Source organism: Homo sapiens, chromosome 17 (genome assembly GCF_000001405.40).
Source record: "Homo sapiens chromosome 17, GRCh38.p14 Primary Assembly".
Taxonomy (NCBI): Eukaryota; Metazoa; Chordata; class Mammalia; order Primates; family Hominidae; genus Homo; species Homo sapiens.
The window spans coordinates 63,656,836-63,681,951 of record NC_000017.11 but is presented as its reverse complement, the minus strand read 5'-3'; the positions used below and the strand labels follow the sequence as shown (position 1 = coordinate 63,681,951).

Below are 25,116 nucleotides of genomic sequence, written 5' to 3'. Positions count from 1 at the left end.
GCTTGGTCTGCTGATACAGGCCACAGGCATATCCCAGCCCCCCTATACTCACGCACTGCTCGCTGGTCTCTGGGATGAACTCCCCCTCACTGTTGATGCTGGTGTAGGACCCCTGCCGGGCAATGTGCTGCTGCCGCTCAGGAACATAGCCAGGGGGAGGTGAGCTTCGGCCAGGGTTCTGGGAGCCTAGAGCACATAAAGGAGGCTTTCAACAACAGAGCCCAGGGTGTGTGGCCCAAGAGGAGCAGGCATGGGGCCAACTATTAGGCCCTAGAGGTCAGGAATGTGACTCAGATGGGTCATGGCACCAACGTCCAGCATGTGCCAGCTCCCTCAGGCAAACAAAGTCCCTTCCTAATAGGAAACAAACTCCAGAGATGGAGCAGGCACTACGGCATATCCGACCAAAAAAACCTTGACACAAAACAGAAACCAGAATAACCCCTAGGAGACCATTTTAGCTGGCAATCAGACTAGCTTTTAAAAAAATTCTTATATATAATTACTCCTTCATAATGTCACCTTCTCTCTTCCTCTAGAGCACTAATGCCATTTCCTCCCATCAGCTCAATACATCAGCTTAGTCCTCTTTAGTTTTGGGTCCAAGCAGTATTTTGAGGGTGGGGACCAGGGAAAGGTAACTGAATATACCTGTGCATCTCTCTCTGTTGCCCTGTTCCCCCAGCCAGTGTCTCCCCTTATTTGTTCTCTACTTGTATCAGGTAAAAAGGCCTTCGTGATGGTCTGGCCAGGATCAAAAGGCAGGCTTCTCCATTCCTACCCACTCCCACACTTCCTGGCTTATGAGTAATGATATTACCTTTTTTTTTTTTTTTTTTAAATTGAGACAGGGTCTCACTATGTTGCTCAGGTTGGTCTGAGTAATGATATTATCTTGCATTTATGTGGTGCTTTACTTTTTGTTACACATTCACAGTAATTAACCTCATTTGATTTTCAACATCTCTACAACAGAGGTTTGGCAAATATTTTTTGAGTGGCTGCTAAGTGGCAATCATTCCACAAGGTATTTTTACATTTGTTACTTCACTTAATCCTTTCAACAATCCTGAGAGGTAAGCATTTGCTTTACTTAACAGAGGAGGAGACGGAGACTCAAGGAACTTAAATCTTAAAAAAAAAAAAAACCCAAAACACCCAAAAACAATTATTTATGTTTTACAGATAAGAGACTATAAAACCAATTAACAGGTACTTTCACCACATCAGCTTGTAAGATGAAATGGTTTATCATCCTAATGTTAGTGAATGACAGAGGTGTGCAGTCTTACAAATGACACACTTTGTAAGTCACTGAGCAATGTTTTTCTGCCATAAGGGATTTTGAGTCCGAGAAATCAGGTCCTCCTTCCTCCTAGCCCAAGAGCTTTTTCTGACTGGCTGTGTTGCTTTCCATGATCAGAGAAGACAAAAATGAGGCCAAAAGTTTGCATCTTTTTTCCTTCCTAAGCTCACCAAACCAGAAGAGCCAATTTTCAGAAGGTTTAAAAAAAGCTTTAACTATACCCACACAAATATTTCTTGTAGCTTCAAAACTTAAACGTAAGACTCTTATCCTGAACCCTTTTCCTGTTCTGAAGGGAACAAATTTATCCTGTTGTTTAGAAAACCAGAGACACAAGAGCCCTCCATTCCCTTATCTACCACCCCTTACCTCTCTCCCACGACCCAGCAATTCCCAGACACCAGGAATAGAGTAGTACCATCCCTCAACAATGCAGGTTACTTTCCTTGCTGGCTGGTTTCTCCAGTCTAGTTCAGGGGCTGTAGCACTAGGTTTTCTGAAATGGAACTGCAGGCAAGATGCTCTGTGGAAATGGCTAAGGAAGCAAGAGAGACCAAGTTTGGTAGCTGGAGACCTAGGGAAGTACCTGACTCATTCTATTCTGTTTTGTTGTTTTGTTTTGTTTCAGAGACAGGGTCTCACTCTGTTGCCCAGGCTAGTCTTGAGCTCCTGGGCTCAGGCAATCCTCCCCCTTCAGCTACAGGCAGGTGCCACCATGCCTGGCTTCTCTCCTTTCTTGATGATAGATCCCTAGTCCAGACCAGTTTTAGATGGAAAATCTGAGATACACAGTTTTAGTTTTATGTATGTGTGTGTGTATACATGTTTATACATATATGTATATATATTTCCTATTGCTCAAAAACTCATGTGTGGCCAGGTGCAGTGGCTCACACCTATTATCCCGACACTTCGAGAGGCAGGAGAAATGCTTGAGGCCAGGAGTTTGAGACCAGCATGGGCAACATGGTGAGACCCCATCTCTACAAAAAATATTTTAAAAATTAGCCAGGCGCACACTTGTGGACCCAGCTACTTGGAAGACTGAGACAGGAGGACTGCTTGAGCCTGGGAGGTTGAGGCCGCAGTGAGCCGTGTTTGGACCACTGCACTCCAGCATAGGTGATAGAGTGCGACCCTGTCTCATAGACAAAACAACAAAGCTCATGTGGAGCCAGGAGCACTCAGCCTGTACCTGGAAGTAGAGGTAGTGCACCAGGGACTAAGCATCTACAGCAGAGGGTGCTCAAGAGCCCAGTCCAGGGTCTTAGAACATCCCGGAAAAGAGGGTGGGCCTGACAGACTGATGGAGCTCAACAAACTCCCTGAGCCAGAGAGACTCCCACTATTTCAAAGACCCTCAGAAGGAAGAAAAATACTTAATGGAAAAAAAGAATGGCGGGGAGGCTTGCTCTGTGTGTGTGTGTGCACTTTTAGGAACAGGGTCTCGCTATGTTGCCTAGGCTGGTCTCAAGCCTTGGCCTCCCAAAGTGCTGGGATTAAAGGCATGGGCCCCCATGCCTGGCCAGAGGGTTGCTTTTTGAAAGACATTTTCTAAGAAGCTTAAACTATTGTTTTTCAATGACCTTTAAGAAACTGACACTGACTCTTTTTTTTGAGACGGAGTCTTGCTCTGTTGCCCAGGCTGGAGTGCAGTGGTACAATCTTGGCTCAAGGCAACCTCCGCCTCCTGGGTTCAAGCAATTTTCTGCCTCAGCCTCCTGAATAGCTGGGATTACAGGTGGCCGTCACCATACCCAGCTAATTCTTATATTTTTAGTAGAGACAGGGTTTCACCATGTTGGCCAGGCTGGTCTTGAACTCTTGTCTTCAGGTGATCTGCCTGTCTCAGCCTCCCAAAGTGCTGGGATTACAGGCGTCAGCCACTGCACCCAGTTGAAACTGACTCTTTAATTCTTCTATATTAAGTCAGTTGTTCAGAACATATGGTTCATGTGGTTGTGCTGAATACATTTTGAGAATTCACCACTGAACTGGTATTGGAGAATACTTCCAATCTCTTCTTGGACACATCACCCCAGCCTCCCTCCAAGGATGTCTCTCTGGCAGGAAAGCTAACATGGGGTCCTCAGTAATCTGGCCTCCCCACCTGACTCCAGAGCAAAGGCCAGAAACAAAATTGCTCTGAAAACAGGCATAGAATTTTGCTGGATTTCCTGTCTCAACATCTCACTCACAGGGTAGAGGCCACCAATTCTGAGATAAAGTGGTATCTGAGCCATGCCTTTGCAATGGTCTCAAACAGCCCATGGAAGAGAATTTGTCCTATTTTCTAAGTCCTAACAGAAACTAAAGTTACTCTGAGTGTAAATTTAGGGATATTGTACCATGAACTAACAGAGCAATAAAATCAGTCAAGGCAATTTTTTTTTCTTAAAAAAATATTGTCACCTCTCATTTAACCCTTACTACACCCCTGCAGTGGTGGTGCATTATCATCATCCACATTGCGCAGAGGGAAACCCAAGCCCCAAAGCCATAAAGTGACTTTATGGTGGGGCCGAAGCGAGAAAACAGGCTTTGTGACTCTCATACAGTTCAGCCAAGGCAATTTGGGGACCATAATTTATTTCCAAAAAGGGCAGGCATGCTGCTCAACACAGTGGCACAAGACATAACTTCTCCTTGAACTGGCCAGGCCATCTGTCCCCCATGAGTAATCCCTATGGAGGATGGAGATCCCATCCACAAGGAAATATGACAGCCTGCCAGGTGTGGGAGGGAGGCTAACGTGGGGACTTCCTGGCAGCACAGGGGAAGCACAGTGCCATGTATCTTTCTTTCTTTGGAGTGCAGTGGCGTGTTCATAGCTCACTGTAGCCCCAAACTCCTTGGGCTCAAGGGATCCTCCTGCTTCAGCCTCCCAAAGTGCAGGGATTACAGGTGTGAGCCACATCCACAGTGGCATGTTTCATGCAGCTCAAATTCAGAGTTGTTTTCTCCATGGTCATTTGGGAGTCAGAGGCCAGGAATACAAAATGCCGCTTGGCCAACAGAGGGTTTGTAGGCAAAGACAAGATGGAGGTTTAGGGGAAATCTGGACCAAGGGAACTACTCCACTTTCCAGTGACCCAGACCTCACAGACCCATGTACCTGGCTGTTTCCCTTGCTACTGTAACACAAAATTCCAGTGCAACTGTAAAAAAAGGATGGTTTTCCTAAGTCTTATCATGTCACAAAACACAGAGAGAGCACTATTTAACCCTTTGCTTATAAAAATTAGCCTACTGCCTGCTTCCTACTTTTAGCTTTGGATGACATCTTGGTAGTCCACAAGTTCTATGGCAATTCAATCCACATGTCAGCAACATTTGTCAGCAGCAGAAGCAACTCTAAGGAGGTAAGTGAGGTGCACGGAGAAAAGACTAAGCTTTGAAATTAGATATACGTGGGTTCAGATCAGGCTTTGCCACTCATTAGCTAAATGATCTAAGCTCTCACCTCAATTTCCTCAACTGCAAAAATGGGGAGAACTATCTACCTCATAATTTCTTTCGGAAGTTATAAATGTGCTGGCACAGGTACATATCCGCATAACCCCATCTCACAGTAGGAACTCCGTAGAATCCCATTTGTACCCTTCACTCTATGTGGCAGATATATGGGGTAGGCGTAAGATGGATTCCACCCTTCTACTGTGCCTTCCTGTACTTGAGAAGCTAACTGGCTAAAAGCTGTATTTCTAAGACTTTCTTTAGATTCAGCTAATCACATGCACTTCTATGAGATTAACAGGCTTCCTGCTGTTCCTGAGCAGTCACAGAAGCCTTTGGTTTTTCTGCCACAGTGTTAGCAGAGGCCCCACACCTGGTCTCCAGCTTTGCCGATGTTGACAGGTGTGGACCAGACCTGAGGGGCACTGGACTTCTGGACCGGTGGCTTCCTGATTACAGAAGAGGGAGGACGCTCTGTGGTGTGTCTTAACCTAGAGGCTGCTTCTCTTTCTTCCCTCATTGATTCCATAATCCACAATGTGCACCTCTGGTTTATGGAACCTCTTCTTCCTGAAACTAGCTACAGTGGGTTCTCCTCTGCACAACTGAACTCTGACCAACACACTCTGGAGCTGTATTATACATTTTACCTAGAACAAATAAAAATGTCTCTTGTAAGGGACTGATTGGAGAGAAAGAAAAACTCTTATTTATGAAACCTCAGACACTGGTCCAAACTATGCCTAGGCAGGATGAAATGCCCTCAATCTGTTACATGGAGTGTCTGGGGTGAGACTTCCCTGGGATAAAATATCCATGGTCCCCCTGACACCTGTCCCCTCCTTCATCAGCTGCACTGAACTCTCCCCTGGTTTTACAGGTGGGATGGGACTAGCTCACAGGAGGCCAGCACTACAGACCCAGGAGGGTCTGGGGGGAAAAATAGCAAAGGTTTTCTGAGCTTTTATTTCCAGCCAGAAACTTTCACTTTTTCCAATCCACACTGTGCCTGCAGAGAGCCAGCCTTGTTATCTGATGGGCTATGTGCCAGCGGCTATTGTGCACAGGCCCACAGGCTGGAGCAGGAAAAGGAAGTCTCCCCAAACCAGTGGCTATCAGAGGAACCGAATGGAAAAACCAGGAGTTGGCAGAACTGCTCCAGGGCATTTTCAGTTTTGTTTTTAATCTTCATTTCAGAAATTGGGAGCCAATGAGATACACAACAGTTGAGAGCAAGTGAGACAGGGAGCTAAACAGGATAGGATACTGGACCATAAAACTACGTATTTACCAGCAGTGATAGCAATGAGCCAGACAGCCCAAAGCACAGAGCTATGCAAAACAGCTCATTCCGTAGGTCTCAGAAGGCTGCATAGGCAGGGGTCACAGGCTTTCTTGGGACACCTTTCCCTGGTATTCCAGCCTGAACTTGCTCTAGCCTCACTGCGCCACCTGTGCCACCAGCTGAAGCAAAGGAGCACAGTAGCAGTTCCACTGTTCAGAGAGAGGCCCACAGTTTCCCATGAAGGTATTTTACACAGAAGGAGAAAAGCGGGGTTTAAGCTGCCAGCTATCCTCATTCCACCCAGTGCGTGCTAGCTCTCTACCAGCCTCCTTAACCCAAAGAAGCAGAGTCAAAGATACACTCTCACCCTCGGATATGGTAGGTTCTTTTGCTTTGTACTCTGACTTAAAGCTGAACGACAGGCTCTCAGATTCTAGCCCTTCTCATAGCAGAACCCTAATCAGGAAGCTGATGCAGTCAGGAAGTTGTCTCCGCAGGGAGTTCTAGGGCTTTGGGTCAGTGTTAATGTGCAGGTCACTGCAAGTATAAAGAGATAGCTTTTTTGGCCACTAACTATTTCCTAAACTCTTTTCTCTCTTCAGGGACAGATGAGATGGGGAGAGAAATCAAACTTTTTTTCTTTCTCAATAGAAAATCTTAACTAATATTTACCAATATGCTCACAGTGGACCACACTCTGTAGAACACAGTAGTGGGTAGAATTTCCATAAGACCCTAAGAACATCTTCTATGTTTCAACTTTCAAAATTCCCATTTTATTTTGGAGCTGCTACCACCATCAAAGTTTCTGATCTCATGTAGCATCATAGAACTTATAGCAAGGAGGGAAAAAAAACCTTTGAAGATGAAAGAAGCTAACCATTTTGTTTCCAAGTGTATGGTCACTACCTCTACAGTCCTGGCTTCTACCCTTTCAAATCGGTACTAGGACTGGAAGCTGGTCCTGAGCACTGCTCTCTGTTTACTGCCCAGTTGTCGCTATAATCTACCCTCATCCTTTCAACATTCTTTCTTGTCCTCTGCCTGAATTTTCCCTCCATGTCTCTCAGAGGCAGAGAGGGCTCCTCTCTTCCTTGCAAAAGTATTATAAACCCTCTACCTGGACTCGATTCATCTCCAGCAGGAGTCAGCTCCCCCATGGTCTCCTCTTCATCACCTTTAACCCCTCCTTTTCAGCTGTCTTTATCCCTCCCTTCATACACTTCCTCATATCTCTAGCCTAAGAACATCCTGGGCTGGGCATGGTGGCTCATACCTATAATCTCAGCACTTTGGGAAGCTGAGGTGTAGAAGGATTGCTTGAGACCAGGAATTCAAGACCAGGCTGGGCAACATAGTGAGAACTCATCTCTACAAAAAACAAATTAGCCAGGTATGGTGGCAAGCACCTGTGGTCCCAGCTATTTGGGAGGCTGAGGCGAGGATCGGTGGTTGAGGCTGCAGTGAGCCATGATGGCACCACTGCACTCCAGCCTGGGTGACAGAGAGATGGGGTTTTGCCATGTTGCCTGGGCTGGTTTCGAACTCCTGGGCTCAAGCAATCCACCCACCTTGGCCTCCCAAAGTGCTGGGATTACAGGTACGCACCACTGCAACTGGCAGGTCCACCATTTCACTACCAAACTCCAGAAAAACCTGATTGCCTCCACTCAGGCGTTGGAGTATGGCTTGCCTCACTATGGGACAAAGTGGCAAGATAAGGAGAAAGACAGAGTGAGAACTGAGGCAAAGGCACTTAACAAGATGAACTTAGACCATACAGGAGTCAGAATGTAGCAGGGACAAGTCCTTTTTTTTTTTTTTTGAGACAGAGTCTCACTCTGTTGCCTAAGCTGGAGCGCAGTGGCACGATCTCAGCTCACTGCAACCTCCGCCTCCCGGGTTCAAGTGATTGTCCCACCTCAGCCTCCCAAGTAGCTGGGATTACAGATGCGCACGACCACACCTGGATAATTTTTATTTATTTTTTATTTTTTTGAGACAGACCAAGAGTCTGTCCAGGCTAGAGTGCAGTGACACGATCTTGGCTCAATGCAACCTCTGCTTCCCAGGTTCAAGCAATTCTCCTGCCTCAGCAGCCGAGTAGCTCGAATTACAGGCACCTGCCATCATACCTGGCTAATTTTTGTATTTTTAGTACAGACAGGGTTTCACCATGTTGGACAGGCTGGTCTTGAACTCCCATCCTCAGGTGATTTGCCCGCCTTGGCCTCCCAAAGTGTTAAGATTATAGGCATGAGCCACTGCACCCCGCCGACAAGTCCTTTAGTTGAGGCTTGGTTACATGGCTTAAGGGCACCACCCAATGTATCATGGAAAAATAGTGCTTGAGCTTCAAAGGTAGGTAGAATTTCCGTAGGCCAAGGTATGAGAGAGGATGTCTTCAGGTAAGGAAATTCCACCTATCTGCCTAGTGATCTCCCCACAGAGAGATTAATTCCTTTGGATTAACTCATTACTTAGTAGGGTTTTTTTTGTTTGTTTCTGTTTTGTTTAGCATGAACTAGTTTAACAGACTAAATGGCCTGAAAAAAACCTGGAATTCAAGGTATGCATATTATGATGGAAACAACAAAGGGTAAACATGATACCTGGCTTCACATGTTTGAAAAACTGTCATATGAAAGATTTTATCTGTGTTTATCTGTTGCTCAAGGGAGCAGCACTAGAATCAGTGGGTAAAGTGAGAGAAAGCTGATTTTCAATCCAAAATAAAGAAGAATTTCAAATATACATGTCTGGAATTTGATTGGGCTACCCTGCGCTTCCCCATCAATGCAAATGTTCCAGTGTGAACTGAGTAGCCTGCTTGCTGCAGACTCACTAAATATTCACATGTATGTAAACGATGATGGCAAGGAGGCAACAGAGGAACCCAGTGGAAGGCTGAATTGCTAAGGCTTACTAACCAAGGACTTCTTGGACCCCATTTCTACTGCTAGGACTTTTCCAAGTCTCTCATGCTATACCTTGACTTCTGTCTCTGTTTCCCTTCCAGAAAGTCTTGTCTGTACCAGCACACAGCAAGCACTCAAACATCTGTGAATGAAAATAACAGGTTTCTGTCTCTTACCCTTGGTCTGTCCTTACCAACCTGGCTGGTTCTGTGTAATGCCTTCTCCCCACACTCCTAATTTCCTTTCCTACTTCTCTGGTTACTCCTTTTCTGTGTCCTTCACAGGCTCATCCTCTTCTAACTGGCCACTAAGTGTTGGGTTCCTAAGGCTCAATCATGGACCCTCTTTTCTTCTCATTCTATAGTCTCTGCTTAGGCACTCTCGCCTGGGTGCATGGTTTCAACATAACAATTTCCAATATTTTTTCACTAGCCCTGATTTTCTCCCCTCTGAGCTAGAGACCTATATATCTAACTGCCTCTCTGATATCTCCTGTTGGCTGTATCAGAGGCACTTCAATACCAACATGTCTAAAACATTAAGTCTGCCCCTTCCCAGCACCTGGAACCAGGCTCTCTTCCAGTATTCCTGTCTTAGTGAAAGGCGATGCCATTTATTCATCTCCACAAAGCAGTAATTTACCTCCCTCTCTCTCAATATCTGCAAATTATTTTTTCTTCCTTCCTTTTTTTTTTTTTTTTTTGAGATGGAGTTTTGCTCTTGTTGCCCAGGCTGGAGTGCAATGGCACCATCTCGGCTCACTGCAACCTCCGCCTCCCGGGTTCAAACAATTCTCCTGCCTCAGCCTCCCTAGTAGATGGGATTACAGGCGCATGCCACCACACCCAACTAATTTTTGTATTTTTCATAGAGACGGGGTTTCACCATGTTGGTCAGGTTGGTTTCAAACTCCTAATCTCAGGTGATCCACCCATCTCGGCCTCCCAAAGTGATGGGATTACAGATGTGAGCCACCAAACCTGGCCTCATTTTTTTTTTTTTAAATGATATTGGGTCTCATTATGTTGTCTAGGCTAAGCTCAAACTCCTGGAATCAAGCCATCCTCCCACCTTAGCCTCCTGAAAACACCTGCAAATTCAATCCAATACTATAGTAATTCTTAAGCCTTTTGGTCTTAGAACCCCTCTGTACCTTAAAACTGAGGCCACTTAGCTTTCATTTATGTAGGATATATCAACTGATATTTACTGTATTTGCAATTAAAACTCAGAAATTTTAAAAACATTTTCTCAGGAGAAACCAGTGGAGGAAAAAAGAAATTTTAAGAATACAATCATATACAAGCACACATGCCATTAAGCCATTACGGTGATGACATCACCTCAGGCACCTGACCTCTGGAAACCTCCATTGTACCCTTGTGAGAGAATTGAGTGTCATGTCTTAGCATGATTATGAAAATAATTTTGAGGGCCAGGCGTGGTGGCTCACTCCTGTAATCCCAGCACTTTGGGAGGCTGAGGCAGGTGGATCACAAGGTCAAGAGATCGAGACCATCCTGGCCAACGTGGTGAAACCCCGTCTCTACTAAAAATACAAAATTTAGCTGGGTGTGGTGGCGCATGCCTGTAGTCCCAGCTACTTGGGAGGCTGAGGCAAGAGAATCGTTTGAACCCGGGAGGCGGAGGTTGCAGTGAGCCGAGATCACACCACTGCACTTCGGCCTGGTGACAGAGCAAGACTCCGTCACAAAAAAAAAAAAAAGAAAATAATTTTGAACTCACAGGGTCAAAGGATCCAAGGGACTCCCCAGGATCCCCAGAACACACTTTGAGAACCACCAAAACGCCATGTTCTGTCAGTTTTACCTCTAAATGTCACAAGTTCACCTGCTCCTTCCTCTCTCCACTTCATCAGCCTACTCCAAGCCCAGTTTTCTTTACCTGGACCACTGCATTAGCCTAATGCAGTTCCCTTGCATGCATTCTTGCCCCCTCCAATCTGTTATCCACACTGTAGCCAGATCAATCTTTTCAAAATACAAATACGAATATGTAACATCACCCACTCCTCTTCACTTAAAAACTCTAAAGTAGCTTTTCACTACTTTCCATGCAATGATCAGAATCTTAACCAGGGTCCACAAGGCTCTGCCTCCCTCCCCAGCTTCATCCTGCCCTCCCCTTCCCCTTGCTCCCAGCTCTCCAGCTATCTGGACTTCTTTCCATTTCTGACATACCACACTTCCTCTTGCCATCAAGTCTCTGCTCTTGTAACATCCCCTGCCTGGAACCCTCTTCCTTGCATCCCTTTTGCCTAATTCCCAAATCCCATTCATGCCTAAGGCTTTCCTGGCCCCAAGATCAGGATCAGGTCCCATCCCTTAGTTATAGCCCACCATTTCTTTCTTTCTTTCTTTTTTTTTTTTTTTTTTTTTTGAGACAGAGTCTCACTCACTCTGTCACCCAGGCTGGAGTACAGTGGTGCAATCTCCACTCACTGCAGCCTCGATCTCTCAGGTTCAAGTGATCCTCCTGCCTCAGCCCCCTGAGTAGCTGGGACTAGAGGCACTCACCATCATGCCCAGCTAATTTTTGCATTTTTATTAGTGACGGGGTTTTACTGTGTTGGTCAGGCTGGTCTCAAACTCCTGGCCTCAAGCAATCCACTCACCTCGGCCTCACCAAGTGCTGGGGTTACAGGCGTGAGCCACCATGCCCAGCCCATTTCTTAGTTATAGCCCACCTGCAGCACCACACACCTTTCAGTCACAGTTTGTAATTATACATTAATCACATCATAAGAAGTAAATGTCTGTCTTTCCATGGATTGTAAAGGCCACAGGGACAGGGCCTGTGTCTTTTTTGCTTCCCATATTTCTGGCACATAGTAGATACTTTGGTAATTACTTTTTTTTTTTTTGAGACAGGGTCTTGATCTGTTGCCCAGGCTGGAGTACCATGGCACATTCATGGCTCACTGAAACCTCTGCCTCCCAGGCTCAAGTGATCCTCCCACCTCAGCTTCCCAAGTACCTGGGACTACAAGCTTGCACCACCACACTTGGCTAATTTTTGTATTTTTTGTAGAGACGGGGTTTTGCCATGTTGCCCAGGCTAGTCTCAAACTCCTGAGGCTCAAGCAATCCACCCAACTCGGCCTCCTAAAGTGCTGGGATTATAGGCATAAGCCACCATGCCCAGCCAGTAATTATCTTTTGAATGAATGAACAAAAACGTAGTATGATGGAAGAAAGATAAGACAACATGATAGGTTGAGGCGTGGTGGCTCACGCCTGTAATCCCAACACTTTGGGAGGCCGAGGCAGGTGGTCATCTGAGGTCAGGAGTCATACCAGCCTGGCCAACATGGCGAAATCCCGTCTCTACTAAAAACACAAAAATTAGCAGGGAGTGGTGGTGTGCACCTGTAACAGGCTGAGGCAGAAGAATTGCTTGAGCGCATGAAGCAGGGGTTGCAGTGAGCCGAGATGGCATCAATGCATTCCAGCCTGGGTGACAGTGAGACTCTGTCTCGAGAAAAAAAAAAAAAGACAACATAATAAATATTATAATGGTGATGGGTATAAGGGGCAAACATTTTCAGTGGCTTCCACTGCCTACCAAAAGAGTCTGAGTGCAGCTGAGAGTCCCTTAGAAAACACCCAGGCATCCTTTCTTGGCCTCTCTATTCCTCCTCCAAATGTATCAGCCAGCCTGGACCTGAAGAATAGCGAGCTCTCCACAGACATAGTCTAAAAGCCCTCTCCTCTCTCCCCTTGTCCCCTGTGGAAATCCTCCACAATCTTTCAAGGTCCAGCTGGAACAGCTCCCCTCAGAATGCATTTTCCAGATCATTCCAGTTAGAAATCATCTCTCCCATTTCTTGGCTCTATGGAAACGCTCACAGGCTCAGCCCATTCTCTTGCCACATCTACCTTACCCTACACACAGTGCAAAGCCCCTGGGGTTCTTCAACCCACCAAGTTCTTTTGTGATCATGCCTGGCAGGTGCTCCTTACTATGCCTGAGATATCTCTCTCTACTTGATGCTCAGTAAATCTTCCTTGGAGTGTCAGCTCTGATGTTACCTTTTCTGTGAAAGCCCCTCTCTCCCAGGCGGAATCTGCTCCAGCCACCCTTGCTCTTTCAAATGCTTCACTGCAGCATTCATCTCAGCCCAACAGCTGGTACTTAATGCTTTGCTGAATGAAGGAAGCCAGGATCTAGGTATGCTAAGAGGCCGTGTTGCCCATTTTCCAGATAAACAGGAACTACTTCACAGAAATCTCACTCCTCAGCATTCTCAGCCAGGAAAATCATTTCCATATATAGCTCCCGGTAACATGGAGAAAGGGTCCAGTGGCTAAGTATTTAGCCCCTGCCTCCATGCACATATCATAGGCTCTTGCTTGGGGGCAAGAGACCCAGTTACTGCCCCATCAATCCTTACTGATTACAAGGGACCATGCTGCCCACCTCCATCCCCTCAATCTCTACAAGGACTACGGAAAAGAGGCCAAACTGGCAGAGCTTCCCAGGCTCTGAGGCACACAGATTCCAGGGCCAGAGACGCTGTGGCTAGGCTCTCCTTGCTAGGGTACTAGCTCTCCATCCTCAACCAACACATTCCCCAATTATCTACAGAAATCTGAAATTCATATACAGACTTTCAGCCTGGCAATACTTACTACCAGTACTTGCCTGGATTCCAGAAGTTACTCAGTAAGGCAAAGTCAGTACCTCAGAAACATATTTTTCCTGTAACTCCCTCAGGAGGCATATTGCAAACAGACAAACTCAGCAACAGGATCAGTGCTTAGATCTCTCAAGCTCAGCTCAGGATCTTCAGAGGACACTTCAATTTGAAGCAATTCTACCTATATGGATAAGGGCAAAGCTGGCTTTCTAGCAGCAGCAGGGGTCTCCACAACATTAAGGCAGCAGGCTCAACACGATGTTTGATAAGACCAGATTTCCCTTTTGATACAAGTTCCACAATTCAAGAAATGGGGGCTTTCTCCCCAGACTCCCAAAAGTGGAATCCACAGGAATCCTGGGTTAACAAGTAATAATGCACAGGCCTGATTTAGATTCCTGTCCTGGGAAGGACTGGTAGCAGCCACAGAGCTTTCTGACTAGTTAGCAGAGGGTTGTATATATAGTTGGCCCTCCATATCTCCAGGTTCTGCATCTGTGGATTCAACCAACCACAGATTGAGAATATATGGAAAATTATAAAAAATAACAATAGCAAAAAAATACAAATAAAAATATAGCATAAGAACTATTTACATAGTATTTACATCATATTATAAATAACCCGGAGATGATTTAAACTATGAAGGAGGATGTGGGTAGGTTATATGCAAATACTACACTATTTTATTTCAGGGACTTGAGCATCCACAGACCTTGGCATCCACAGGGGTCCTGGAACCAATCCCCTACAAACACAGAGAAATGACTGTACTATGTCAATAGTCTCCTTTCCTTCCAGACAACTTAGCTTGACTCTCTCAAAAGTTTCATTGGTCACTATCTTCCCTGAAGTATAAAGACTTCTCAGGAATCATAAGCAAGAGGTTTAAGGTCAAAATTCAAACTTAGACCCGATTCCTAACTTTACAAGTCTCTATTCTTCACAAGAATGGTCAAAAGTGAGTGTAAACACAGCTGGAAGTCTTCAAGCAGATGTCTGAGGCAATCACTTTTTCAGGGATGTTTAAAAGGAATTTAATCACACTACTATATCATTATATTTTAAGTTCCTTGAGAGTCAGGATACCATCCCAGTTATTTCTTTGCCCTTCCTCTCTAAATAAAATAAAGGCATAAAGGATTACTCTACACAGAGTAATAGTTAATAAATATTTGATGATTATTTAATTAACAAATACTTGTTGCTTTTTTAAAATGTGGGCAGATAAAATAGAGGGGGAGAAAAAAGGGTTGAAATACTCACTGACAGAGAGGTGCCTGCTTCTGGGCTCGGGGGGCTGGTAGATAGTATTTATATCCCCTGCGGACTGGGAAGCCTTGATCCGCACCTGTCTGGACACCCCAGAGTGGGGAGAGGAACTGTTCTGTAAAAGAAGAGGAAAAAGGCCAAGCTACATCTTTACACAGTCAGGCCTATCAAGGTCTTCTCACCCTTTTCCTAAGGACTCCCTGCAGGCTCAGCCACCTTCATGCTTTTAATACATGAGCTACCCAGCTTTCCCCCAAATCTCACTCTTCTATTTGTCTCAGCAAACCACTATTCGCTCAATGTAGTTTTATAGCTTCAATGATGTATGAGCGCTGAGACCTAGTGCCCCAGTTTAACAGGTGATGATCCAGACATGGAGGAATAACAGGCATTCCTGTAATAATCTGCAAAACAGAAAAGAGAGCTGTAAATACCCTCTCATAAAATTCTCCAGAGAGTTTAGGAAGAGTAGCAGAAAATTATTTCTGCAGAGGAGGAAGTCAGGATGGAGAGTGAATGATGGCAACTTCCCTCCCCAACAAAATTCTGGTTGCTATATATGTATTTATCTTATTGACTGATTGATTGATACAGAGTCTTGCTATGTTGCCCAGGCTGGACTCAAACTCCTGGGCTCAAGGGATCCTCCCACCTCAGCCTCCGGGTTAGCTGAGACTATAGGTACATGCTACCATGCCCAGCTTATATATGTATGTTTAAAAGTAGCTCAATTTGCTTCTTTTTCCCAACAATAATCACTCCCTGAAAATTAAGAAGATTCCAGGGTTTACACACAAATCATCTCAGGATCATGTTCAATTGGGAAAAGCTATCATAAGTACCATTGTGCCAGACAGAGGTCAAGGGCCTGAGAGGAGGGTCAGCAATCCTCCCAGCACCCACCCACTCTTTCCACTGGGCCCAGTCCAGCCGCCAGAGAAAACTAAGCAACAAAGGGGGGCCTTTGCACTGAGAAAGCTTAAAACTAAACCCTGGAGGTAATCAAGTGATGTCAGGATGCTATTACAAATAAGCAGGGCACTGGTGAGAGTCGGGGTGAGAGCTCAGGATTTACAAACAAGTTGGTTCAAAGTTTCTACTTGCTCCTCTATCTCCTCTACCTCCCCCTAACAAAAAAAGTCCGATCTAAACAAACTCTATATCCTGTCCTCCAGGAAAAAGGTTTCCTGCTCTCAGGGGAGAGTTCAGCTGCCAAGCAACCTCCTGTAGTCCCCATGCCAGACTTTATCACATGCAGGTTGTCTTGAAAAACTGTCTTGCTCTAACGGGAAGTCAGAACCAAGGGGGAAGTGAATGTTCTTGCTGAAGCCTCCGATGTGCAATAGCTCTCTGCTAAGGGTCAAAAAGGAAACAACAGTCAAAGCCACATACTGGGGAGGCAGGCAAGTGAAGGGCAAGGGAGGGTCATAGTCTTGCACTCACAAAGAGGAGGTGCATGATGAGCACCCTGCCACCTGCCTGAATGCAGGGCCTTACACATAGTGGGAATTCAAAAAATCATGGCAACATGAATTTGAAATGTGTACCAAAGGACATACTATCTAAACCCTCAATTAAAAAATCTAAAAGCTAGGCCGGGAGTGGCTCATGCCTATAATCCCAGCACTTTGGGAGGCTGAGGCGGGCGGATCATGAGGTCAGGAGATCAAGACCATCCTGGCTAGCACAGTGGAACCCCGTCTCTAATAAAAATACAAAAAATTAGCTGGGCGTGGTGGCAGGCACCTGTAGTCCCAGCTACTCAGGAGGCTGAGGCAGAAGAAGGGCATGAACCTGGGAGGCGGAGCTTGCAGTGAGCCGAGATCGCACCACTGTACTCCAGCCTGGTCGGCCTCCCGAGTAGCTGGGATTACAGGCATGTGCCACCACGCCCAGCTAATTTTTTGCATTTTTAGTAGAGATGGGGTTTCTCCATGTTGGTCAGGCTGGTCTTGAACTCCTGACCTCAGGTGATCTGCCTGCCTTGGCCTTCCAAAGTGCTGGGATTACAGGGGTGAGCGACCATGCCCAGCTGCCTGTGGAGATTTTGACACCTCAGATCAACAGAACCTCTGGACACAGAGTCCAAGCACTGACATTTTGTAATATTCAGCCAAATTTTGAAAACCTCAATTTAAGGGGGCAAAAGGGAATGGTATGGTAAATAAAAATGAGGTTGCTTCAAGGGTTTAGGACACCTTGAATAAGACTCAGAAGTGGGAAAAAGAGGAAGGAGGAAGGTGGGACTATGCCTGAGAATATAAGGGGACTGTCGCAGAGTGACAGGAGAGCCCATAGGTATGAACTGTGTAGCTAGCAGAACATTCTAAAGACAACAAATAGAAGATGGTGTTTGATCATTCCATGAACACCTCACTAAAGGACTCTGGGTAGAAGTTAGCTGTGGCTAACACAAACAATATGAAAAATTACCAGGAAACCATGTGCATCAAGATTTCAGTGACTGGAAGATAGGAGATCAGTAGAAAAATAAGTTACAAAAGTCCACCCACAAATTATCTCAATAAAAAATCTGGCAAGTGGATTCAACGATGCAGGGAAGAGGTGAAGCAGGGAGAGGGGTTGCTTTAGTTTGTTACATGGGAATGTAAGGTAAGAAATGGCACACTGGATCACCAAGAGCATCCTGTCCAGTCCTCTGTTTTAATGGTGGTACCAAGAGATATTTGCATGGAAGACCATGATAGTTATGATAGCTGTGAAAGCATCTGAGGTGATTTAATTAAATTTACAGCTTTACCATCCATGAATTTATTAAAGCCCTTTTTTTTTTTTTTTTTTTTTTTTGAGACGGAGTCTCGCTCTGTCGCCCAGGCTGGAGTGCAGTGGCGCGATCTCGGCTCACTGCAAGCTCCGCCTCCCGGGTTCACGCCATTCTCCTGCCTCAGCCTCCCAAGTAGCTGGGACTACAGGCGCCCGCTACCACGCCCGGCTATTTTTTTTTTTTGTATTTTTAGTAGAGATGGGGTTTCACCGTGTTAGCCAGGATGGTCTCGATCTCCTGACCTCGTGATCCGCCCGCCTCGGCCTCCCAAAGTGCTGGGATTACAGGCGTGAGCCACCGCGCCCGGCCTAAAGCCCTTTTTAAAATCTGCTTTGAAGCTACACAATTTCAGAATAATAGATGCCACATATATCATCTTTTTTGTTTTTGAGACAGGGTCTTGCTCAATGAGTGCAGTGGTGCAATCATAGCTCATCGCAGCCTGGAATTCCTTGGCTCAAGTGATCCTCCCGCCTCAGCCTCCCAGGTAGGTGGAATTGCAGGCATTTGCCACCACGACTGATTTTAAAACTTTTGTAGAGATGGGGGTCTTGCTATGTTACCCAGGCTGGTTTATCACTTGTTATACAAATTATTTCTTTTTTGTTCTAAGATAATGCTCAATATTCAAGGAGTTCATCCAAATTGAGATTAGGTGAATAAATCCGTGTCTTCATTATCCATGCTCTTAAACGCTTTAAAGACTCTGATTATATATGCTTAGGCTGTCTTTCCTAACTAAAGAGTTCTAAACTTTTTTTTTTTTTTTGAGACGGAGTTTCGCTCATCGCCCAGGCTGGAGTGCAATGGCACAATCTCGGCTCACTGCAACCTCCGCCTCCCAGGTTCAAGCAATTCTCCTGCCTCAGCCTCCCGAGTATCTGGGATTGCGGGCATGCGCCACCACGCTCAGCTAATTTTGTATTTTCAGTAGAGACAGGGTTTCACCATGTTGGTCAGGCCGGTATCAAATTCCTGACCTCAAGGGATCCACCTACCTCAGCCTCCCAAAGTGCTGGGATTACAGGCATGAGCCACCACGCCTGGCCAAGCATTGTAAACTTTTACACTGTTCATATATGAAAGTGACTCCAACTCCTTGAAAATTTTGTCTTCTGGACATTTGCTAGCTCAGTTGTCTTCAAAGCTGCAGGGAACAGAATGATACAACATCTCACAAGTTCTCCTCATGGACAGTATTATACTTTCTGCTTGGCTTCTAATGATTTCCAACCGTGGAGGCACCTGGGTGAGGTTTCCCAAGGACTACAATAATTCTAAGAACCCTCTTCTGGGGCCGGGCGTGGTGGCTCACAACTGTAATCCCAGCACTTTGGGAGGCCAAGGCGGTCAGATCATTTGAAGTTTAAGAGTTCGAGACCAGCCCGGCCAACATGGTGAGGACCGCCCCCCGCCCAACCCCATCTCCACTAAAAATACAAAAATTAACCGGGCGTAGTGGCGCACGCCTGTAATCCCAGCTACTAGGGAGGCTGAGGCAGGAGAATCGCTTGAACCCGGGAGATGGAGGCTGCGGTGAGCTGAGATTGCGCCACTGCACTCCAACCTGGGTGACAGAGTGAGACTCCATCCCAAAAAAAAAAAAAAAAAAAAAAAAATTCCCTCTTCTGGATGGTGACTGACAGGCACTAGACTACAAGTCAGAACATCTGGATTTCAGACCAGCTCTGTCACTACACACTGCCTCACCTGAGCAGTCACCCTAAGTCTCAGTTTCCCCAGATGTAGACTGGAGATAATAGACGCCTGCCCTGGTACCCTCAGAGTTGTAAAAATCAAGTGAAAGATAAAAACACTTTTTATGTGCTAGGTGTTGTTATTATTACTATTATTCGAGACAGGGTCTTACTCTGTCACCCAGGCTGGAGTGCAGTGTTGCAATCTTGGCTCACTGCGGCCTCAACCTCCCGGCCTCAGGTGATTCTCCCACCTCAGCCACTCAAGTAGCTAAGACCACAGGCACGCACCACACCTGGCTAATTTTCGTTTTTTTTTTTTTTTTTTCAATAGAGACAGGGTTTCGCCATGTTGCTCAGGCTGGTCTCAAACTCCTAGGCTCAAGTAATCTGCCTGCCTCAGCCTCCCAAAGTGCTGAGATTACAGGTGTGAGCCACCATGCCCAGCCCAATGTTATTATTATTGAGATGAGATGGAGTCTCGCTCTGTGGCTCAGGCTGGAGTGCAATGGCGCAATCCTGGCTCACTGCAAGCTCCGCCTCCTGGGTTCATGTCATTCTCCTGCCTCAGCCTCCCGAGTAGCTGGGACTACAGGCACCTGCCACCACGCCCAGCTAATTTTTTGTATTTTTTAGTAGAGATGGGGTTTCACGTGTTAGCCAGGATGGTCTCCATCTCCTGACCTTGTGATCCGCCTGCCTCGGCCTCCCAAAGTGCTGGGATTACAGGCGTGAGCCACCGCGCCCGGCCCAGTGTTTATTTTTAACAGGGGCCAGAAGAAGCTATTCTGCCCAATCAGGTTTGTTTTATCTTCCTGCACCTGTCCCACTATTTTACAAGGACTGAAAAGAATTACCTTTTAAATTATCCTTGATATTTTTAACTTACAATATTTAGGTGAGAAGATTAGAAGCTTATTTTTGTCAACGCGAATATGAGGTAACAAAACAAAGTGGCTAGGTGTTTAGTTTTTATCGTATACAAATACAAGTTACAAAAGAAGGTTCAGCTTGATATTACTTTATGACAGTGGAAGATCTGAGACTAGAAAGTCCTAAGAAGGTCAAGAGCTGAAAGACAAATGTAAAAGTTAGATGCATAAGCTAAAAGTTGGTGGTCCAAAGCAGAGGCTTAGGACAGCAAAAACTACAGAAGGAGACAATGAAGTATCTTAAAATGATGGTAGAGACCAAGGCTAGAGAGAGGCTTTTCAGACAAAGAGACTGGCCAGATCCGGTGGCTCACACCTGTAATCTCAGCACTTTGAGAAGCTGAGGCGTGCGGATCACTTGAGGTCAGGAGTTTGAGACTAGCCTCGCCAACAGTGCGAAACCCCATCTCTACCAAAAATACAAAACTTAGCCGGGCATGGTGGCATGCACCTGTAATCCCAGCTACTCAGGAGGCTGAGGCAGGAGAATCACTTGAATCTGGGAGGCGGAGGTTGCAATGAGCTGAGATCGTACCTGGGTGACAGAGTGAAACTGTGCCTCAAAATAAAAAAAAAGAGATAGTTCTGTGATTACCAAAACTCAGGAGTTCTCAAGAATAATATTGAGGCCTCTCAGACATGGCCTTGGCCAAAGTGAGGTGGGAGAGGTAAGACTATGTACCTTGTGAGGAATGAAGACAGAAGGAAAATTAGAAGCTGCCATATAGGGATCAGAAGAATCCAAGGCGGGGTGCAGTGGCTCATGCCTGTAATCCCAGCACTTTGGGAGGCCGAGACAGGCGGATCACCTGAGGTCGGGAGTTCAAGACCAGCCTGACCAACATGGAGAAACTCCGTCTCTACTAAAAAAAAATACAAAATTAGGCGGTTGTGGTGGTGCATGCCTGTAACCCCAGCTACTGGGGAGGCTGAGGCAGGAGAATCACTTGAACCTGGAAGCCAGAGGTTGCGGTGAGCCAAGATCACACCCCTGCACTCCAGCCTGGGCAACAAGAGTGAAACTCCATCTCAAATAAAAAAAAAAAGAAAAGAAGAAGAAGAAGAAGAAGAAGAATCCAAAGAGAAGAAAGAGATAGCACAATTCAAAACAGGAACAAGAAGAGAAACAGCCAGGTATGGTGGCTCAAACCTGTAATCCCAGCACTTTGCGAGGCTGAGACAGAAGGATTGCTTGAGCCCAGGAGTTTGAGACCAGCTTGGGCAACATGGCAAGACCCTGTCTCTACAAACAATTAAAAAAAAAAAAAGAAAAGCCAAGCATGGGGGCACACGCCTGTAGTCCCAGTTACTTGTGAGGCTGAGATGGGAGGAAGATAACTTGAGTCTGGGAGGTTGAGGCTGTGGTGAGCTGTCACTGCGCCACTGCACTCCAGCTTGGGTGACAGAGTAAGATCCCATCTCAAAAAAAAAGGGAAATAAAGGAATAGGTGGTAACAAAAGGCGGTGAGGCAACTGCTACAAATGCAGGAAATTCAAAGTGGAGAAACAAAGTGACTGACAGTATCAGCGGAGGTGATGAAGACCAGGTGATATAGTATCCTGGAGCAGTGTACTTAAGGTATGATATCTGGGCTGGTGCCAGTCCACACACTGGTATACTGCTCGTCCTGCTCTTCCACCAAGTAAGTAAAGAAATGGAGAGGGCCCTTTGAAAAACTTTAGAGCAATTTGGCAGAGTGATTTTATGTTTATTGAATCTACTAATGAAAACTGTAGCCTTATAATTTATATACCTCTAGTTTATTTTTCCATTTCACTTCTCAGTTTTTGTATTTAAAAAAAGAACTGGTACGGCCGGGCACAGTGGCTCATGCCTGTCCCAGTACTTTGGGAGGCCAAGGCGGGCGGATCACAAGGTCAGGAGTTCAAGACCAGTCTGGCCAACATGGTGAAACCCCTTCTCTACTAAAAATACAAAAATTAGCGGGGCGTGGTGTCGTGCACCTGTAATCCCAGCTTCTCGGGAGGCTGAGGCAGAAGAATTGCTTGAACCCGGGAGGTGGAGGTTGCAGTGAGCCGAGATCACGCCACTGCACTCCGGCCTGGGCGACAGAGTGAGACTCCATCTCCAAAAAAAAAAAAAAAAAAAAAAAAGTCCATGACAGATTTGAAATCAAAAGAACAAAACTGATATTTCATCACATATAGTTAGAGGAACACTGTTCTAGAGGTGAGGATTCCTGAGCACAGAGCAATTTTGGATCATAATTCTTCCATTTATTAAGAAGCCTAAAGTCTAGGTGAGGAAGTTCTGGAGGAAAGATTTCATCACCAAACATTACCATTGTTACTCTTAAATGTAAATATTTATAAATGCAAAAAACAGGAGCAGTTTCTGTGTCCCAACAGTAGCAAAAATGGTTATTTAATTAAATTATGGTATATCGACTCAAGAGAAACATGTATCCTTACAAATTATAATTACAACATAGAAAAATGTTCACCACAGGCTGGGTGTAGTGGCTCACACTTGTAATCCCAGCACTTTGCAAGGCTAAAGTGGGTGGATCATTTGAGCTCAGGAATTCAAGACCAGCCTGGGCAACACAGTGAGACCCCATCTCTACTAAAAAAATTAAAAAATGGCCGGGCACAGTGGCTCACGCCTGTAATCCCAACACTTTGGGAGTCCGAGGCGGGTGGATCACCTGAGGTCAGGAATTTGAGACCAGCCTGACGAACATGGTGAAACCTTGTCTCTACTAAAAAATACAAAAATTAGCCAGGCATGGTGGCGGGCACCTATAATCCCAGCTACTCGAGAGGCTGAAGCAGGAGAATCATTTGAAGCCAGGAGGCGGAGGCTGCAGTGAGCTAAGATCACACCATTGCATTCCAGCCTGGGCAACAAGAGCAAAACTCTGTCTCAAAAAAAAAAAAAAAAAGAAAAGAAATGGTCAGCATGAGCAGCATTCCACCTAAACTTTGTCCTAGTCACTACACCCACACTTATGCTGCCATGTTGGCTGTCCACATAAAGAAAAGGAAAGCCTGTCAAGCATAAGAAAAGGAAATGGTGCCAAGAAACCTTCAGAAACATGCATCTGAAGAAAACTGGTAGAAGAATCAGTAATTGGAAGACAGATACAGATTGCAAGCATTCTTGTGAAATGCGGGCCTCCAGGAATCCTTCAGGAGAGGAAACTGTGCATAAGGGATAATTCCCCACTTCTGACACCCTACAGACTGCCTGCCATTGGGTAAAGCAACAGCTGATAAGTTATAAGAGGCCCCCAACCCATGGCTTTTTCCACTGAACAAAAGGAAAAGTTTGTTTCCTACAAGTGTTCCAAGGGAAAGGCAAGGTGTTGTGGGAGTTGGGTTTATAAAGCATGACAGTCTCAAATCTTTGACAGTCTTTCCTAATCGGCACTGCCAAACGAATCAAATTTCTCTTGTTGGGGTCAAAATCTAATTGAAAAAACATAAATTTAGAGCACAAGAATTTTATTCTTTATCATAAAGTATTTTCCTTCCTCCCTCACCAAAAGTCAAATAACCTTTAGATGCAATGTTAACACTGACAATCTGGCTTTTCGGTGAAATCAAATGCAGAATGTTCACTGGCCACTGACAAGTGGGCTGTGCTGTGCTTATGCTCTCAATTTGGCAGTGGCTGAGGAACGAAAATGTCTGTCAAGGAGGCGAGACAAGTTCCTGAAGGAAAGCAAGCTTTGTCTTCAGCTGCCAGACCATGACAAGGGCTACTTACATGGTTTCTGTCCTGGGACAACAGCAATATCCTAAGGCTTTTCATGCTTGAGCTTCTATCTAAAATGTCAATTGCTTTATCAAGATCATCTTGGTTTTTCAGCAGGATGGAGAGCTGTGATACAAGACATAGAAAAGGAAAATAATATAAAACAGAAGTTTATCTCAATGTTTCACTTTGCAGAAATAAAATAAACAAAAAATAAAAATACATTTGGAGGAAAACAATCTCACTGGATACTATGGGGTCTTAAGAGATCTAGTTGAAACCATACAGATTTTTTTCTCTAAATGTACAATCCAAAAATTTGTAGTACCTTTACATAGTTGTGCAACCATCATCATAATCCAATTTTAAAACATTTCCAGAACTCCAACAGGATCTCTTGTGCCCATTTATAGTCACTCCTCCTTCCCACCTCCAGCCCCAGGCAACCACTACTCTACTTTCTATCTCTATTGATTTGCCTTTTCTGGACATTTCATTCCATTTAGACTCATACAATTCATACATATTCAATTCAATTCATAAAGATTCAATCTTTTTCATCTAGCTTCTTTCACTTAATGTTTTTTAGTTCATCCATGCTGTAGCATACCTCAGTACCCAGTTGTGAGATACTTTCTGAGAAGAGCTGCCTCTCCAAAAACACTAATTTACTTCAAAATATCAAGTTGCAAACAGTTACAGCCCCCATATTCTTTTCCAAATTAAGTAGGATCATGTCCCACTCTACTGCCAATTGTGCTGACATTAATAGAACAAGCAGAAAAGGAAGAGAAGGGGTGGAGGGATGGTCAGAGGATGAAAATTGTTATACAAATAAAAACACAAATTTAGACTGCATAGCACGGTTTAATTATCTTTCTGTTTAAGGGCAAAGTCAGTGACTAGAACCTGAAAACTACCTCCTCCATTCTCACGGAGCTTTTCCCCCTTTGCTTGGCACTTCTCTCTCCTGTCGCCATATGAAGGATGTGTTTGCTTTCCCTTCCGTCATGATTGTAAGTTTCCTGAGGCCTCCCCAGCCATGCTGAACTGTGAGTCAATTAAACCTCTTTCCTTTATAAAT

At 45.2% G+C, this 25,116-nt stretch overlaps 1 protein-coding gene across 10 annotated transcripts in view, besides 2 other annotated features; it reads right to left on the bottom strand.

Moving 5' to 3' along the window:
* Positions 1 to 25,116, bottom strand: part of MAP3K3 (mitogen-activated protein kinase kinase kinase 3) — a 73,889-nt gene that overhangs the window by 14,354 nt on the left and 34,419 nt on the right. For 9 of the 10 annotated variants that reach the window (NM_203351.3, XM_005257378.3, NM_001363768.2 and 6 more), the window contains 3 exons: positions 24,045 to 24,158; positions 14,892 to 15,012; positions 53 to 186 (listed from right to left, as the gene is read on the bottom strand). In NM_203351.3, coding sequence (NP_976226.1) covers positions 53 to 186; positions 14,892 to 15,012; positions 24,045 to 24,158 — 369 coding nt within the window. Of the gene's footprint in view, positions 1 to 52; positions 187 to 1,751; positions 1,772 to 14,891; positions 15,013 to 24,044; positions 24,159 to 25,116 lie in introns of those variants that run through there. The other variant, XM_047436088.1, reaches the window with a different exon arrangement.
* Positions 4,222 to 7,720: an enhancer, noted in NCBI's record as "VISTA enhancer hs1856". NCBI's record gives its function as "enhancer in: heart[6/7]" and the evidence as "EXISTENCE:transgenic organism evidence [ECO:0001131][PMID:17130149]".
* Positions 5,709 to 6,003: an enhancer, noted in NCBI's record as "tiled region #2081; K562 Activating DNase unmatched - State 5:Enh". NCBI's record gives its function as "activates a minimal TATA promoter and a strong SV40 promoter by Sharpr-MPRA in K562 cells {active_cell/tissue: K562}" and the evidence as "EXISTENCE:reporter gene assay evidence [ECO:0000049][PMID:27701403]".